General features: G+C 54.4%; 2 protein-coding genes and 1 long non-coding RNA gene across 16 annotated transcripts in view, besides 6 other annotated features; 1 reads left to right on the top strand and 2 right to left on the bottom strand.

Moving 5' to 3' along the window:
- TPD52L2 (TPD52 like 2) overlaps nt 1–13315 on the bottom strand; it is a 26269-nt gene extending 12954 nt beyond the window's left edge. For 5 of the 11 annotated variants that reach the window (NR_045090.2, NM_199360.3, NM_199362.3 and 2 more), the window contains exons 1-4: nt 13201–13315; nt 9144–9289; nt 4769–4917; nt 2710–2769 (exon numbers count right to left, since the gene is read on the bottom strand). Coding sequence is in view for 10 of the 11 variants with exons in the window: in NM_199360.3 (NP_955392.1) it covers nt 2710–2769; nt 4769–4917; nt 9144–9289; nt 13201–13219 (374 nt within the window). In the remaining variant the exon portion in view is untranslated. The remainder of the gene's footprint in view (nt 1–2709; nt 2770–4768; nt 4918–9143; nt 9290–13200) is intronic. The other 6 variants (NM_199361.3, NM_199363.3, NM_199359.3 and 3 more) reach the window with 3 other exon arrangements.
- Nucleotides 247–416: an enhancer, noted in NCBI's record as "experimental_61287 CRE fragment used in MPRA reporter constructs". NCBI's record gives its function as "activates a minimal promoter by MPRAs in K562 erythroleukemia cells, with activity observed for both the introgressed and non-introgressed 20:62509607 variant alleles {active_cell/tissue: K562}" and the evidence as "EXISTENCE:reporter gene assay evidence [ECO:0000049][PMID:34662402]".
- Nucleotides 11864–12583: an enhancer, noted in NCBI's record as "H3K27ac-H3K4me1 hESC enhancer chr20:62497355-62498074 (GRCh37/hg19 assembly coordinates)". NCBI's record gives its function as "activates a minimal SCP1, AML or CMV promoter by ChIP-STARR-seq in primed H9 embryonic stem cells {active_cell/tissue: H9 hESC(primed)}" and the evidence as "EXISTENCE:reporter gene assay evidence [ECO:0000049][PMID:30033119]".
- Nucleotides 13065–14264: an enhancer, noted in NCBI's record as "BRD4-independent group 4 enhancer chr20:62495674-62496873 (GRCh37/hg19 assembly coordinates)". NCBI's record gives its function as "activates an origin of replication core promoter dependent on BRD2, P300/CBP, MED14 and CDK7 cofactors, and independent of BRD4, by STARR-seq in HCT116 cells {active_cell/tissue: HCT116}" and the evidence as "EXISTENCE:reporter gene assay evidence [ECO:0000049][PMID:35650434]".
- Nucleotides 13305–14025: an enhancer, noted in NCBI's record as "NANOG-H3K27ac-H3K4me1 hESC enhancer chr20:62495913-62496633 (GRCh37/hg19 assembly coordinates)". NCBI's record gives its function as "activates a minimal SCP1, AML or CMV promoter by ChIP-STARR-seq in primed H9 embryonic stem cells {active_cell/tissue: H9 hESC(primed)}" and the evidence as "EXISTENCE:reporter gene assay evidence [ECO:0000049][PMID:30033119]".
- ABHD16B-AS1 (ABHD16B antisense RNA 1) lies at nt 13512–17370 on the top strand. 4 transcript variants are annotated; one of them, NR_165198.1, is made up of 2 exons: nt 13512–13544; nt 14196–17370. It is a non-coding gene; the product is annotated as an ABHD16B antisense RNA 1 (long non-coding RNA). The 4 variants fall into 4 exon arrangements; NR_165314.1 differs by having other exon boundaries at nt 13512–13761; nt 14315–17370; NR_165313.1 differs by having other exon boundaries at nt 13512–13761.
- Nucleotides 13848–13897: a silencer, noted in NCBI's record as "silent region_13190". NCBI's record gives its function as "represses an Ori minimal core promoter by ATAC-STARR-seq in GM12878 lymphoblastoid cells {active_cell/tissue: GM12878}" and the evidence as "EXISTENCE:reporter gene assay evidence [ECO:0000049][PMID:35858748]".
- Nucleotides 14358–14587: an enhancer, noted in NCBI's record as "active region_18254". NCBI's record gives its function as "activates an Ori minimal core promoter by ATAC-STARR-seq in GM12878 lymphoblastoid cells {active_cell/tissue: GM12878}" and the evidence as "EXISTENCE:reporter gene assay evidence [ECO:0000049][PMID:35858748]".
- Nucleotides 15597–17087, bottom strand: ABHD16B (abhydrolase domain containing 16B). Its single transcript, NM_080622.4, has one exon. The coding sequence runs from the start codon at nt 17042–17044 to the stop codon at nt 15635–15637; it is 1410 nt and encodes a 469-aa protein (NP_542189.1). The 5' UTR covers nt 17045–17087; the 3' UTR covers nt 15597–15634.

The following is a 17370-nucleotide window of genomic DNA, read 5'->3' as shown; positions in this document are numbered from 1 at the left end:
CAGGGAGACCCATATGGGGCCACACTGTTGGGCTGCAGCAGTGGGGGCAGGGACTTCTCTGCCTGGTGAGTGCTCCCACCTCCCTGTTTGGTTGATGCTACCTTGAGTCGTGCTTTCTGTCACCTGCAACCAAAACAACTCCAAGTGAACCAGCTCATAACTGCAGGATCTATATGATGCCCCTCTCAGCACTGAGGTTTTTAGTTACCTCTGCCTATAAATAGAATGCAACAGGCAATTGTTTCACCACTCGCAGAACACAGCTGCTCTCGCATTCAGACATGACCCACTGAGAATGTGGCCGCATTGCAGCCTCATGGGGCCAGGCACCAGTGCTATCCTCCACCCACCGGCCACGTTCTCCTTCCCGTCCATCCTCCAGGGCGCCAATAGCTGAAAGGATCTACAAACACGTGGGTCAGGATGCAGGGAGCTTTTACTGCCTTCCCCTGCAGAGCTCTGGGCAGTGGAGGTACATCTACAGCCCATCTCCTGAAGCTGACTAGGAGAGGCACCAGCCAGGAAGAGCACGCGCCATGGCCACATCCTCAGGCCCCACCTCCCAAGCCGCATCCCTTCCGTCTGGGCCGTCCCGGCAGAAACCACCGCCCTCGGCCTCGGCCGTCCCGGCAGAAACCATCGCCCTCGGCCTGGGCCTTCCCACCAGAAACCATCGCCCTCGGCCTGGGCCGTCCCGGCAGAAACCATCGCCCTCGGCCTGGGCCTTCCCGGCAGAAACGCTTCCACTCTGGAACCGTCAGTTGACAGCTCTCGCCACAGAACTCAGGGGAATGGCCTCGGCCAGGTGATGCACTGGCCATATGCTTCCATGCTGAGCCACAGGTTTCTCCAGAGGGGTCGGGACGCTGAGTGTTGTAATAAGCTCTCTAAAACACTATTTATTTGAAATAGGATCCCGGCAGCTTTATGTCAGTTGGTTTTACAAAACAGCACTGAAGTCTCCTAAGACTATTTTCAGACTGAGTCTGCACTGTGCGTCCGCCTGATGCCCAAACTGCAAGGATGACCGTCACTGTCCCAACCTAGGAACCATCTGCTGCCCAGCAAAGTCACTGTTCAACAGCCCGAGACACAGCCCACCAGGGTCCCTAGAACACCCTGCTCAAGCCGGGTGCAGTGGGTCACGCCTGTCATCCCAGCACTTTGGGAGGCCGAGATGGGCGGATCACGAGGTCAGGAGATCGAAACCATCCTGGCTAACACCATGAAACCCTGTCTCTACTAAAAATACAAAAAATTAGCCGGGCGTGGTGGTGGGCGCCTGTAGTCCCAGCACTTTGGGAGGCTGAGGCAGGCGGATCACGAGGTCAGGAGATTGAGACCATCCTGGCTGACATGGTGAAATCCTGTCTCTACTAAAAATAGAAAAAATTAGCCGGGCGTGGTGGCGGGCGCCTGTAGTCCCAGCTACTGGGGAGGCTGAGGCAGGAGAATGGTGTGAACCCGGGAGGCGGAGCTTGCAGTGAGCCCAGATGGCGCCACTGCACTCCAGCCTGGGAGACAGAACGAGACGTTGTCTCAAAAAAAAAACCAAACAAACAAAAAAAACCCAGGGCAACATGCCATGAACCACCCGGGTCCCCAGAGCACCCAGATGTACAGCTGGCTGCTGTAGCCATGCCCACAAACCGCCCGGGTCCCTGGAATACCCAGGGCAACATGCCGTGAACCGCCCGGGTCCCCAGAGCACCCAGATGTACAGCTGGCTGCTGTAGCCATGCCCACGAACCACCCGGGTCCCTGGAATACCCGGGGCAACATGCCGAGAACCGCCCGGGGTTCCTGACACCAGCCTCCCACCGTGACACCAGACGCAAAGGCTCCATGTGCACGCAGTGCCAGCCTGGTCCCCCAGGACCTTCAAGACAAGCTCGGCAGCAACTGCTTCCTTTCAGACCAACATGGGAGGACTTTCTGCCCATGTTCTGTGGCAACGATTACAGCGCTTCCTTCTAAATAACAGATGAAAAAATCCCACAGAGACTATTTAAAAATATTCCCCTCCTCAGTTTAAAGACGTTATAATCAGATCAGAGCACAAGTAAATGAAGTGCTATTATCTAGTTTAAGGATCTCCAAATATTAGGAGTCACTCTGAACAACACCACTGACACACACATACAAAACTATCCACACTTGATCCACACTGGCTGATGCTCTGACAATGCAGTGCCTCCCAGATCGTGAGGATTTCAAATTTCCACCAGCATATCCTACACCATGCCCTCCACTCAAGAACTACCCCTAAAGGAGGAAAGGAATTCTGAGAACCCAACAGCTGGAGCTAAGCAGGGAAAAGGGTTAGGGTTAGAACAAACAAAAATTCGCCACCAACAAACCCAGGCCAAGTGGTGTTGTCCAGCTTGTGCACTGCCGGAAGCCAAGGAGCTCTATTAGTTAGAGATACAGCCAGGACCAGTGCAGGCCTCTTACATAAGGGACGCATATCAGGCAGAGGGGAGTTTTAAGTGTGGTCAGGTGGCTGAGTGAGTTTCTCTCAGCTACTATTCCCTGTTCCACAAAAGTTTAAAGGATAGTTTACCTGAGAGAAGAAAAGTTATAGGAAGAAAAAATAGCCAGCAAATACCAAAACAAGCTTTGTGCCAAGTGTGCACAGCCCCCTTCCCCGACTGAGTGTCAGGAGGCGGAGAGGAGGAAGGAGGAGGTGCTGATGATACAGGCACTCACAGGTCTGACTGGGTCACTTTCTCATTCCACTCTCCAAGTTTCTCAGAAGTTTTCACATAGCTAAAAACAGAAAGTCTACAGTGAATTATTTAGAAGAACAATTTTAACTCAGGCATCAAACTGCAGGTGAAGTTCCAGGGAAGACAGAGAGGGACCAGCTGGCAGGAACATCAACTCCACAGACGGCCCAAAAATGGGGTCCACTGCCTCAACCAGGCCCTGTGCAGGCCCCAGGCCGCCAGGTGAGCTGTGGGTATAGCGGAACTGATGTTCCCTTTTCTGTCACCTGGCAGTAGCCCCTGGTCTCTCGCTAGGAGATTCTTGGGCAACAGCACTGCTGTGGGGGACTGGAAGGGCACAGCCCACAGCTCCAAAACACCCTTGGGATTCAAAACTTACGATGTCCTAGGACAAAAACATGGGCCTCTCATATGTGAGATTTATGAAATGTGACCTGTTCTGTCTTTGTATAGGAACATGTCTTCTGGGAAACATTCCACAGCCACCCCAACCTTGAAGGGTATGTTTCAGAGAAGCCACGTGGACAGGGCCAAGTGAGAAAGCAGCACTCCCCAAATTCAGAGCTGAGCGACATCTGGGACAGGTGTCCCAGGGTTATAGGACCACGTCGTCATGTAGGACCACGTCGTCATCGGGGAGGGTCAGAGTCCCTAGGGTTGTGGGACCATATGGTCCTATATATAAATATATATATATATATATTTTTTTTTTTTGAGACAGAGTCTTGCTCTGTCACCCAGGCTGGAGGGCAGTGGCATAATTTTGGCTCACTGCAACCTCCGCCTCCCGGGTTAAAGAGATTCTCCTGCCTCAGCCTCCCTAGTAGCCGAGATCACAGGTGCGCACCACCACGCCCAGCTAAATTTTTTTATTTTTTAGTAGAGACAGGGTTTCTCCATGTTGGTCAGGCTAGTCTTGAACTCCTAACCTCAAGTGATACACCCGCCTCAGCCTCCCAAAGTGCTGGGATTGTAGGCATGAGCCACCATGCCCGGCCCATATGGCCATATCTGGGTCAGAGGCTGTGACCATGCCACACCCACAACAAGGACCACAGAAAAACCGCTCTTGCCAAGGACCTGATCAGTGCTCTCTCAAGTCTGGACCCTGAAACAGTCTTCCTATCATTTTCCACCAGGACAACTAGCCAGTGTGTCTGCCTTTTTAGAACACGTATATAAGCCGGATGTGGTGGCTCACACGTGTAATCCCAAGCATTTTAGGAGGCCAAAACAAGAGGATTGCTTGAGCCCAGAAATTTGAGACCAGCCTAGGTAGCAAAGCAAGACCCTGTCTCTATAAAACGTGAAAAAATTAGCCAGGCATGGTGGCGCACGCCTGTCATCCCAGCTACGAGGGGGGTTGAGTTGGGAGGATTGCTTGAACCCAGGAGGTTGAGGTTGCAGTGAATCATGATTGCGCCACTGCACTCCAGCCTGGGTGACAGAGCGAAACCATCTCAAAAAAGAATAATAATAAAAAAAAAAAAAAGGCCAGCGTGGTGGCCAGCACTTTGGGAGGCTGAGGTGGGTGGATCACAAGGTCAGGAGTTCAAGACCAGCCTGGCCAACATGGTGAAACCCCATCTCTACTAAAAACACACACACACACACACACACACACACAAAAAAAAAAATCAGCCGGGCGCGGTGGGAGGCGCCTGTAATCCCAGCTACTTGGGAGGCTGAGGCAGGAGAATCGCTTGAACCCGGGGGGCAGAGGTTGCAGCGAGCTAAGATCACGCCACTACACTCCAGCCTGGGCGACAGAGTGAGACTCTGTCTCAAAAAAAATAATAATAAAGTACACAAAAACTTAAAAATAAATAAAACACATGTAGACACCAAGCTTTTTGAACAAACAAGGCACAGTCGCTGGGCCAAGGGCTCAGAGCCTCTCTCTGGATCCTTCCAAACAGGCCACTCAACTCCACGGCTGCAACTCGTCCCTGGGCATGACGACGCCCCCCCACATGCCGGGGCACGTGTGGTGCCCGTTCTCTTCAGCCCCCAGGGGTGCGCCTGGGGCAGGTACCTACGCGCTAGAGACCTGCACGTCATGCCAGCTCCTGGACAGGTTCTGTTTCAGCTCCCCCAGGGTGGAGAGGCCCAGCCTCCTCTTGAGCTCTCCACAGTGCCTCTCCTTGGCTGCCAGGACCTGGCGCAGAGTGACAATTTCCTCTTCCACCTGCAAAGCATGCAGTTGACATGATGAGCCATCACTACTGCAGGAAGTGACTAACATCCTCATGCACAGTGCCATGAGTTACACAAGAACTTTCCGCTTACCAAAGCATTAACTCGTCCTAGGAATAACAGCATCTACAGCAGACATCTGATTTTTGGGTTTTGGTTTTTTTTTTTTTTTGAGATGGAGTTTCGCTCGTCGCCCAGGCTGGAGTGCAATGGCACGACCTCGGCTCACCGCAACCTCTGCCTTTCAGATTCAAGTGATTCTCCTGCCTCAGCCTCCCAAGTAGCTGGGATTACAGGCGTGTGCCACCCTGCCCGGCTAATTTTGTATTTTTAGTAGAGATGGGGTTTCACCATGTTGGTCAGGCTCGTCTCAAACTCCCAACCTCAGGTGATCCTCCCACCTCAGCCTCCCAAAGTGCTGGGATTACAGGCGTGAGCCACCGCGCCCAGCCAGCAGACATTTGTTTTTATCTGGTACTAGGAACTTGACTCCAGGGAACTATCCCATGCCCCACAACTAAATGGTTCTGGGAGAGCTACCAATCACCATGTCCATTTGTGGTCATGAGGAATGGCCCAGGATGACCATGCCAGGTTTGTCCGAGCTCTTTACTAGGACTGGGCATGGTATTAAAAAGGTGAAGACCGGCCGGGCGCAGTGGCGCATGCCTGTAATCCCAGCACTCTGGGAGGCCAAGGCGGGCGGATCACGAGGTCAGGAGATCGAGACCATCCTGGCTAACACAGTTAACACAGCGAAACCCTGTCTCTACTAAAAAATACAAAAAATTAGCCAGGCACGGTGGCGGGCACCTGTAGTCCCAGCTACTCGGGAGGCTGAGGCAGGAGAATGGTGTGAATCCAGGAGGCAGAGCTTGCGGGTGAGCCAAGATTGTGCCACTGCACTCCAGCCTGGGTGACAGAGCGAGACTCCATCTCAAACAAAACAAAACAACAACAACAAAAAAATGGTGAAGACCCTGGCCGGGCACAGTGGCTCACGCCTGTAATCCCAGCACTTTGTGAGGCCAAGGCAGGCAGATTATCTGAGGTCAGGAGTTTGAGACCAGCCTGGCCAACATGACAAAACCCCGTCTCTACTAAAAATACAAAAATTAGCCAGGTATGGTGGTGCACGCCTGTAACCCCAGCTACTCGGGAGGCTGAGGCAGGAAAACTGTTTGAACCCAGGAGACAGAGGTTGCAGTGAGCCGAGATCATGCCACTGCACTCCAGCCTAGGTGACAGACCGAGACTGTTTCAAAAACAAACAAACAAACAAAAAACAGTGAGGATCCTTTTCCCTCAGGGCTCTCAGTCTGGGCTTGGACAATAGAAGCTGGAACTGTTGGCAGCCGGGCACCGTCTGCACTCATAGAATTCCATATGCAGAGAGGAGGAGGCAGATGGACAGTGACACAGGTGACAGAAAAAAACACCCTTAAGAAAACACTTGTGTTCCTGAGGTCAGTTCCAAACCTTGGCAAGAGTCAGTTACACGAACCAAAAGGTAAATTATCTTTTGTGCTTAACGTAGTTAGAACTGAGCAACAGAAAGATTCCTGATCATGAAGACTTGAACTTTCTCAGGTCTTTAAAAAAAAAAAAAAAAAAAAAGAACATGACCTCTGAAAGGGGCATCATTCAAAGCTTTACCACTTTAGAATGAGTTCTCAGTATCTTCAGCTCATATATGACTAGCTTCTCTTTAAAAATTCTCTTTCTTGGCCGGGTACGATAGCTCATGCCTGTAATCCCAGCACTTTGGGAGGCCGAGGCGGGCAGATCACCTGAGGTCAGGAGTCCGAGACCAGCCTGACCAATATGATGAAAGGCCGTCTCTACCAAAAATACAAAAATTAGCCAGGCGTGGTGGCATGCACCTGTAACCCCAGGTACTCGGGAGGCTGAGACAGGAGAATCACTTGAACCTGGGAGGCAGAGGCTGCAGTGAGCCAAGATCGCACCATTCCACTCCAGCCTGGGCAACAAGAGCAAAAAGTCTCAAAAAAAAAAAAAAACTCTTTCTTGCGTGTAATCCCAGCACTATGGGAGGCTGAGGCAGGCAGATTACCTGAGGTCTGGAGTTCGAGACCAACCTGGCCAACGTGGTGAAACTCCGTCTCTACTAAAAATACAAAAATTAGCCAGGCATGGTGCTGTGCGCCTGTAATCCCAGCTACTCGGGAGGCTGAGGCAAGAGAATCACTTCAACTCAGGAGGTGGAGGCTGCAGTGAGCCCAGATCACGCCACTGCACTCCAGCCTGGGCGACAGAGTGAGACTCCGTCCTTAAAAAAAAAAAAATTCTCTTTCTTGGCTGGGTACAGCGGCTCGCATTTGTAATCCTAGCACTTCGGGAGGCTGAGCCAGGTGGAGCTCTTGAGACTCGGAGTTCGGGACCAGCCTGGCCAACATGGTGAAACTCTGTCTCTACTAAAAATACAAAAATTAGCCAGGTGTGGTGGCAGGCGTCTGTAATCCCACCTACTTGGGAGGCTGAGGCATGAAAATCACTTGAACCAGGGAGGCAGAGGCTCCAGTGAGCTGAGATCACGCCACTGCACTCTAGCCTGGGCGACAGAGCAAGACTCTGTCTCAAGAAAAACAACAAAAAAAAGCAATACAGAACTTCACCTTGTAGGGGCCGGGCACAGTGGCTCACACCTGTAATCCCAGCACTCTGGGAGGCCAAGGTGGGTGGATCACAAGATCAGGAGTTTGAGATCAGCCTGGCCAACATGGTGAAACTCTGTCTCTACTAAAAATACGAAAATTAGATGGGCAGGGAGGCACGCGCCTGTAATCCCAGATATTCGGGAGGCTGAGGCAGGAGAATCGCTTGAACCTGGGAGGCGGAGATTGCAGCGAGCCGAGATCACACCATTGCACTCCAGCCTGGGCGACAGGGCGAGACTCTGTCTCCAAAAAAAAAAAACAAACCCCATCTCGACTAAAAACACAAAAAAATTAGCCGGGCGTGGTGGTGGGCGCCTGTAGTCCCAGCTACTCAGGAGGCTGAGGCAGGAGAATGGCGTGAACCCGGGTGTTGGAGGTTGCAGTGAGCCGAGATTGCGCCACTGCACTCCAGCCTGGGCGGCAGAGACTCCGACTCAAAAAAAAAAAAAAAAAAAAAAAAACTTCACCTTATTGTAATTCAACTCTGAAAAAAACCTTGTGGATTTAGTTTCTAAACTCACATATTCTGAAGTTAAATGGAAAGCAAAGTGTCCTTGGACTTCCTGCTACTCTCCTTTAATCTTCTAGGCTAGAAATAGCTGTGTGATGTCCTCAGGATCTGAAACCTGGTCCTCAGACTCAGCGGCACAACCAACCTTACTCAGACCTAGGCCTGGACCCAGATTCTGGAATTAAACCACATCACAGGGTGAAAAGAAAACTCTTGGCAGTTGGTTTGACTAAAAATTATGGTTGGAGGCTTTTGTTCTTAATTCCTACATTACTCTTAAGGGACTCTCACTTAAAGAAGATCACATAAATACTTTTTAGAAAAGAAGTTTTTGTTTTGTTTTTGAGACAGGGTCTCGCCCTGTCACCCAGGCTGCTGTGCAGGATGCAATCACAGCTCACTGAAGCCTTGACCTCCTGGCCTCAAGCAATCCTCTCACCTCAGCCTCCTGAGTAGCTGGGACTACAGGCACATGCCACCACACCTGGCTAATTTTTGGGGGTAGAGACAAGGTCTCACTGTGTTGCCCAGGCTGCTCTCAAACTCCTGGGCTCAAGTGATCTTCCCACCTTACCACCCTGTCCTCCTAAGGCGCTGGAATTACAGGCATGAGCCACTGCATCCAGCCAAAATAAATATGTTTAAAAGAAAACTTAAGATCCAGGACAAGAAAGATTCATGGGGTCTTAAAAATGATTATCAAGTGTTAATTCCAACAGAGACACTCCCAGCAGATGGCTGCTCAGAGGCGGTTCATGTGTGAACACTCCTCAGGGAGCACTTAGGAAGGGCCAGGCACAGAGGTATGGGAAGGGAGTCATGCCCTGTCTCCACTGCCAGGTGGCTCTGAGTCCAGTGCATGGAGCTGGGCACATACAAAGAGAACCCCGTTATCAGTCGGAACACAGAGCAGGGTAGGTGACCACCCAGGGCAATTCCTCCCGAGCGTGGCCAGTACCCTGGCCTCTCACTAATCCAAGAGGGCCTTAACTCCAATTCACCCCAGGACAGACAGCCAAGCCACAGCACCTTGGTAAGCTCAGCCCTGAGCTCCTCCTCCTCAGCCTCTGTCAGACCCTCAACAGCAGGAGTCCGGGCAGCCACACCTGTGTCGACAGGAACATCCGTCATGGAGTCAGACAGCAGACCTTTGTTAGGAGAATTCAGGTTGATATCTGCCAGAGACAAAATGAGGCCACAAAGTGTCAAATAAGTTAGTTCCAAGTAAATACGGTAGAGGTCTCTAGCAGGACAAAAGCACAGGTGGGAGTGGGTGAGACCCTGGAGACTAACACCTCTTCTCTGAAAGGTCTGTGAGGACAGCATGGGCAGTAGACGAGGGCAGCCACACCTCAGACCACCTGAGCTGAAAAGCCAATGCCACTTGTGCTGCTTCAGGGCACGACAAATGCCGGCCCAAGGCAGGCAAACCCGAATTCTGGCTTCCCAGTGAGAATACTATCGTCAGAGGCAGGAAACCCTTGCTACAGAGAAAGCAGCTCAATCTAACAGACCTTCCACCTTTTTTTTTTGATGGAGTCTCACTCTGCCTCCCAAGCTGGAGTGCAATGGTGCGATCTCAGCTCACTGCAACCTCCGTCTCCCGGGTTCAAGTGATTCTCCTGTCTCAGCCTTCGAGTAGCTGGGATTACAGGCGCACGCCACCACGCTGGCTATTTTTGTATTTTCAGTAGAGACGGGGTTTCGTCATGTCGGCCAGGCTGGTCTCCAATTCCCGACCTCGGGTGATCCGCCCGCCTTGGCCTCCCAAAGTGTTGGGATTACAGGTGTGAGCCACCATACCCTGACAAATTTCCACTTTTTTTAAAAAAAGGAACCTAATATGGTTAATATACACAATAAGCATCACTTTCCTCTCAACACATCTGACAGAGCACATGCTAAAATTACGTACTAGGAGCACATGCTGCTCATTCAGCTCCTTCAGGGAGGCAGCAAAACAAAATTCCCTTTACTTACCTCCCGATTCTCATCCCACTGCCAGAAGGCCGCCAGCAGGCAGAGAGGTGCAGAGCGGTGTGCTGCCACCACACACCTCAACTACACCCAGATCACATTCAAATTCCTGCAGCCACTGTTTTTTCTTCATGTCAAATGCATCTTCCTGACTACCCTAAAAGTCTACAAGATTTCACATAAAGAAAAACAGTCTATTTCGATTCTCTCCAAATCCAAGCACATGACTATTGTAACACTTTCCCTGTTGACCAAAACATTCTGAAAAGAAACAGGCTTACTGCCAGGCGCAGTGGCTCATGCCTATAATCCCAGCACTTTTGGAGGCCGAGGCAGGTGGATCACATGAGGTCAGGAGTTCGAGACCAGCTTGACCAAAATGGTGAAACCCCGTCTCTACTAAAAATACAAAATTAGTTAGCGTGGTGGCACGCGCCTGTAGTTCCCAGCTACTTGGGAGGCTGAGGCAGGAGAATCACTTGAACCCGGGAGATTACAGGCGTTGAGCCACCACGCGCGGCCAAAAAAAAATTCTTTAAAAAAAAAAAGAAAAACTGGTCGGGCGGGGTGGCTCATGCCGGTAATCCCAGCACTTTGGGAGGCTGAGGCGGGCGGATCACCTGAGGTCAGGAGTTCAAGACCAGCCTGGCCAATATGGTGAAACCCCGTCTCTTTTTTTTGAGACTGTCTCAAAAAAAAAAAACAAAAGAAAAGAAAAAGAAAAAAAAACTATGCCTTTTAAAAGACAACACAAAGACACCAGATTAAATGCACTTAACAAAGATACTCTTCTTAAAAGCTGGCTGCATCTCACTCCCTTCAAATGTCCCATAGGACTGGAGCCGTGTGCACTTCCTTGGCGCTCCACAAACGCTTACTAAACGAAGCGTATCCACTTTTTTATCCACTGATTCTCTTTTTTTTTTTTTTAGACGAGTCTTACTCTGTCACCCAGGCTGGAGTGCAGTGGCACGATCTCCGCTCACTGCAACCTCCACCTCCTGGGTTCAATCGATTCTCCTGCCTCAGCCTCCCAAGTAGCTGGGACTACAGGAGCACACCACCATGCCCGGTTAATTTTTTTATTTTTAGTAGAGACGGGGTTTTGGCACGTTGGTTAGGCTGGTCTCAAACTCCTGACCTCAAGTGATCCACTGGCCTCGGCCTCCCAATGTGTTAGAATTACAGGCGTAAGCCACCGAGCCCAGCCTTTCTGTTCTATTTAAAAAAAGACAAATGAGGCTGGGCACAATGGCTCACACCTGTAATCCCAGCACTTTTGGAGGCCAAGGCGGGCAGATCACCTGAGGTCAGAAGTTCGAGACCAGCTTGACCAACATGGAGAAACCTCCATCTCTACTAAAAATACAAAATTAGCCGGGCATGGTGGCGCACGCCTGTAATGCCAGCTACACGGGAGGCTGAGGCAGGAGAATCGCTTGAACCCAGAAGGCAGAGGTTGCGGGAAGCCATGATCGCGCCATTGTACTGCAGCGTGGGCAACAAGAGCGAAAATCCGTCTCAAAAAAAAAAAAAAAAGTAGAAAGACCAATTAACCTGGCATGGTGCGCCTGTAGTCTTATAGTCCCAGCTACCTGGGAGGCTGACGCAGGAAGATCGCTTGAGCCCAGGAGTTGAAGATTGCAGTAAGCTATGATTGCACCACTGCACTCCAGCCTGGGAGACAGAGGGAGACGCTGTCCCCAAAAAAAAAATTAAAAAAAAAAAAAAAAAAGGCCAGGCGCGGTGGCTCACGCCTGTAATCCCAGCACTTTGGGAGGCCGAGGTAAGCAGATCACGAGGTCAGGGTATCAAGACCGTCATGGCTAACAGTGAAACCCCGTCTCTACTAAAGATACAAAAAATTAGCCGGGCATGATGGCGGGCGCCTGTAGTCCCAGCTAGTTGGGAGGCTGAAGCAGGAGAATGGCAGTGAACCCGGGAGGCGGAGCTTGCAGTGAGCCGAGATCTAGCCACTGCGCTCCAGCCTGGGCGACAGAGTGAGACTCCATCTCAAAAAAACAAAAACAAACAAACAAAAAACACCCTCCAGAATAATGCAGCACCTAGGAATTATAAAGCTTAATATGTAGCCGGGCACAGTGGCTCACGCCTGTAATCCCAGCACTTTGGGAGGCTGAGGCGGGCGGATCACAAGGTCAAGAGATCGAGACCATCCTGGGCAACATGGTGAAACCCTGCCTCTACTAAAAATACAAAAATTAGCTGGGCCTGGTGGCGCGTGCCTGTAGTCCCAGCTACTCAGGAGGCTGAGGCAGCAGAATCGCTTGAACCCGGGAGGTCGAGGTTGCAATGAGCTGAGATCGCGCCACTGCACTCCAGCCTGGCGTCAGAGCAAGACTCCGTCTCAAAAAAATAAAGAAAGAAAGAAAGAAAGAAAGAAATTTAGCATCCCTCTCTAGAGCCCCAAAATGCAAGGCAGACTTTTATCATCTTCTCAAGATTTTAATCTCCTGGGCTCGCTCCACGCCCCTCAGTGGCCATCTCATACTGCTCTGGGGAGACTGTTCTGGAAACAGGCCTGGTATGCTGGGTGTGCCCCTGACTCACTCCACCCCCTCTCCATGAGGCAACCCCTAAGCAGGCTGAGCTCCGAGCAGAGTTGCTGCCCAAGGGGAGCTCTGCTGAACGCGAAGACCCCTTCTCTGCTCGGGAGCCGCCCTCAACACCTCGGACTGGGTCCAGGGCCAGACAGCGTGAACCCGAGGGCCCCGCGCAGGGACCGGGGGGTGGCAGAGCAAGCAAGAGCAGGGCACGGGGTGGGCGGCATAAGCGAGACCTGCTGGGAGCGACAGAACCCAAACTACGGGAGCAACGGCGGGCGCCAGGGAACCACACCTCGGAACGGTCCCAGGGGAGACCAGGAGGGCGGCTGGAGAGAGCCCAGGAAGCGGTCTGGGCCGCGGGCAAAAAACACACCACGACCATCATAAGCTTCGAGGTCAGTGGCCCCGGGAGCTGAAGAGGGGCCGCGGGGTGGGTGAACCGAGACCGAGAGGACAGAGAGTCGCAGACGCGACCCCGGGAGACGGAGAACAACGGGCAGCCTGGGCCCATCTGCGGCGAAGGGGCCGGGCCCGGCAGGTACCTTGGCCGGCGGAGTCCATGTTCGGGCGGCGTCCGGACCGCTGTCGCGGGCGCTATGGGAGCCGAGCGGGCGGCGCCGGGAGAAGCTCGCCGCGTACACACTAGCCAGCGGAACTGCCTCAGCTCCGCGGCGTTTCGTAATCCGCGATGCGACGGCTACTTCCGCCCGGGCACGTGCTCCGCCTTCTTCCCGCCCCCACCAGTGATATCCAATGAGAGTGCCGCTTGGCCCGTCCTGGTTTACCCGACTCAACCTGATAGGCCGAAACTGCGGGCGAACCAGGAAAGGGAGGCGTGGTTCGGCGGGAATCCATTCCAGGTTGACTCCACCAGCGAGAATCACAGGTAGAACGGTCAGAGTAGCGGGAGGACTGGGAAGGTGGGAAGTGGGAGGACCGTCCAACATGGCGCTGTGGAAAGCCAGCGCAGGGCCCCAGGGGATCTTCCGGGGCGGATGCAGCTGCCTAGGAGTGCTGGGGCTCGCGCGCCTCGGCGGCTCAAACTCTGACCCCTTGAGATCCTTTCCAGCCCGACCCCTTACTTTAGGGGTCAGCCTGCCCCCGTAAGTCCTGTTATTTATTGTATTTATATTCTTTTTTTAGTTGGTCCTTTTTTGTTTGTTTTTGAGACGGAGTTTCACTCTTGTTGCCCAGGCTGGAGTGCCATGGCGCGATCTCAGCTCACTCCAATCTCTGCCCTCCGGGTTCAAGCGATTCTCCAGCCTCAGCCTCCCGAGTAGCTGGAATTACAGGCGCGCGCCAACACGTCCGGCTAATTTTCGTATTTGTAGTAGAGACGGGGGTTTCGCCACCTTGGCCAGGCTGGTCTAGAACTCCTGACCTTAGGTGATCCACCCGCCTCGGCCTCCTAAAGTGCTGGGATTACAGGCGTGAGCCACCGCCCCTCACGCCTGGCTAGTTTGTCCTTTTCATGGGGACTTTTTATTGTACGCGGGTTACTCTGAAAAAGATCGCGATTCGTCCCCTCGCCCTGCAGGCGCCGCTGCCGCCTCGCCTCGGGCGTGGACCCTGCGGCTCGGGCCTGCGCGTGTGCACCCCGAGGTTGTCTCACTTCCTGTTCAGGGCGACCAGCGCTGCGCCCTCCCCACTCCACAGATGAGGAAGCTGAGGTTAAAGTCACTTGCCCCAGGTCACTCCGCAAGTTGAAGCGCAACCAGGATACTCTGGAACAGGATGCCTGACTTCAGAGGAGAGGCGCGTAACCACCAGGCAACTGGCCCCACGAAAACAAGTCCCGCAACTTCCCTTCTTTGGCTCCTACTTGCTCCCGGAAGAAAAGCCTTAAACGGTATTCAAGCCCTTTAGGATCTGATGTCCTAGGACTCCACTCTGGGCTTCCAGCCTGGGGTGGTACTGGTCCCTAGGCATGGAAGCTCCTCCCACTGCCCCTTCCTTCACCCGGCCACCTCCTCCCACAGGTGTCTTCCTGGTACTCTTGCACAGGCCCGAGTCCCTTACCACCACGGCCTTAGCCTGCTCTCGTGCTCTCAGTAATGTTTTCTCCATTTGCTGCCTTTCATTCTTTCCAGAGATTCTTGCTCAACCCAACCAGGCCAGCCCGGGGACTAGGGACATGTAGGGACAATAGTCCCTGCTTCAGGCAGTTCAGGGCAGACCACAGAGATGTGACATTACAGACCATTGTGAGCAGAGGCCTTGTCCCATTCTGTGTTGCATCCCTAAGCCAGGAACAAAGTCCAGCCCAGGCCTGGCTCCAGGGGACACGCAGTAGTATCCTCTGGCCTGTGCAAGTGTATCTGTAGCCTCACATGCCACCATGTGAGTCTGCAATCTGTCTGTGAATGCCCTGGTGTAGAAGCCAGGAGTTTGGAGGTGGGAGGGAGCCCTACAGAATGATAGCCAGTGCTAACTCCTGGGAATGTCCAGCCACTAAGACCTGCCCACAGCCCTGCCATGCCAATGTCCTCCTTTTCACGGGAGCAGCTTGCACAGACTTTCAGCGCACAGCTGGCATTGTCTTCCCAGGAGCCATCCTGTAACCCAGGCCAGGTGAAGGGCTCCTCCCTGGGACCCCACAGCCCCGTTCCCATCATCCTTTTGTGGTGATCAAGGCACCCATCACACAGTATTGCCATAAACCGGGTCAGGTTAACCTTTCATTCCCTTAGGAGCTGGGTGGGGGCAGCCAAAAGTATTTGTAGGAGGAAGAGAGAAAGGAGGGGACAGAGCTAGGAAGAATGGGAGGACGGTCAGAACGCCCCTGTGAAGGAAGGAGAGCACCAAGTCCCCGTGTTCTGCCTACCCTCCCCCAGACAGCAGATCAGGAGCACCCCGCGCGCCCCCCCCCGCCCCGCCCCGCGTCGGCGCCGGCCCCCTGCAATGGTTGGCGGTATGGGGAGGTGAACCAAGAAGGCCAGGAGTTCAAGTGCGTGATCCCCCACTGGGGCATATAGGTTACAGCCGCCAGGGCAACTGAAACTCCTCAGGCTCCAGAGGGCTGAAGTGAGTCGCCTCCACGTTCTTGAGGTGCTTCCGAGCCAGGAACAGTGCGAGGCGCCGGCGCCGCCGCGAGCTCAGGCCCTGGCCCACCAGCCATGGGAAGGCGGGTCCGTGTGGCCCCAGGGCCTCCTCGCCCTCCAGCTCCTCTTCGCAGCGTGCACGGTAGGAGCGCAGCAGCGCCAGGCACCAGTCCTCGTCCACGCGGTAGCGTGCATAGAAGGCGGCCTCCTGCGCCAAGCTGCCAGCGCGCAGCCAGCGGGTGACGACGGCGCGGCCCTCTCGCGCCATCACGACGGGGTAGCGGTGCTCCAGCAGGCGCAGCAGCAGCTCATTGCCCCGGTTGCCCTCCACGTCACCAGGTGACAGGGGGCGCAGGCGGCCCGAAGTGCTGACCACGTCATCCTGCGTGCGTCGGAGCAGCAGCACCGGCCCCGGGTAGCAGCACAGCTGCTCGGCCACGTTGAGGTTGAAGTGCTCGCGCACGGTGCGCACCACCAGCCCCTTCCAACTGTGGGGCATGACCTTCAGCGCCAGCGGCACAAGGTCGTCGAAGGTGGCGTCCAGCACCAGTGCACCCAGCTCCGGGTAGGTCATGGTGGCCCAGGTGGCCGTGAAGCCGCCAACAGACCAGCCGTAGACCACCAGGTGCGCGGGCGGGAAGTGCAGGCGGTGCAGTGCGTACTCGACCACCACGTCCATGGCGTTGGCGTCGTGCTGAGGGAAGGGCACGCCAGTGCTGCTGCCGAAGCCGGGGTGGTTCCAGCCCAGCACGGAGTAGCCGGCCTCGAGCGGTGCAGACAGACAGCCCATCTCGTAGAAGCCCGCGTTGCCTTCGCAGCAGATGACGAGGCGCGGCCCGTGCACGTGGCTGCCCGGGTGCTGGCGGCGGTCCATGAACATAGTGTCGATCTCGTTGCCGTCACAGGCCACCAGCTTGGCGCGCCGGCCGTGGTAGCGCTCCACGAGGCGCTCTTGGCCCTGCTGCAGCAGCGGCAGCAGCGCGCGCGTCATCAGGGACACGGAGCCGGGGTACACGAGCCAGCGGCCCAGCGAGTGGGCCAGCGCGTAGCTAGCGAGCTGGCCGGGCAGCTCGCGGAGCTGCTGCAAGAGGCACTGCGCCTGGCTGCGCGCCCCACGTGGAGGCCGCCCCAGCGCATCCCCGCCCAGCGTCTCGTCCCGCAGCAACCACACGCCCGCCGCGGCTGCCGCGCAGGTCAGCGCCCGGTGGCTGCTGCTCCGGCCCACGGCGCGCACGTCATCCCAGCGGAAGGCCACGGGCCAGCCGCGGAATGGGTAGGTGTAGCTGGCGGTCAGGTAGATCTTGAACACGCGCACCAGCGCCTTCACGAAGCAGATGACGCACATGAGCGGTGGCCCTAACGCCCAGCCGCTGGGCCGGGATCGCCGCGAGAGGCACAGGGCAGTCTTAGGGGATACCGGCTCCCGGACAAGCCCTGATGGCCTTTGTGACCTGGCCTTCCAGGGCGGAGGGAAGGCTGCATCCTGTTGCTAGGTGATGGGTGCACAAAGGGTTCCCAGAGATGATGAACCCAAGGTTCTGCCCGTCCCCCGCCTTCGCCAAGACCCCACCAGCTAAACGCTCCCAGGCCCAGCTTTCCCACCCATGATTTGAGCAGCTACTGTCTCCCTCTTTCTTCCTTATTTATTTATTAAATTGAGATGGGGTCTCA

This window comes from Homo sapiens, chromosome 20 (assembly GCF_000001405.40).
Source record: "Homo sapiens chromosome 20, GRCh38.p14 Primary Assembly".
In the NCBI taxonomy this organism is placed as follows: domain Eukaryota; kingdom Metazoa; phylum Chordata; class Mammalia; order Primates; family Hominidae; genus Homo; species Homo sapiens.
Note: the sequence above shows the minus strand (reverse complement) of the source record. Positions and strands in the feature narration are given on the sequence as shown.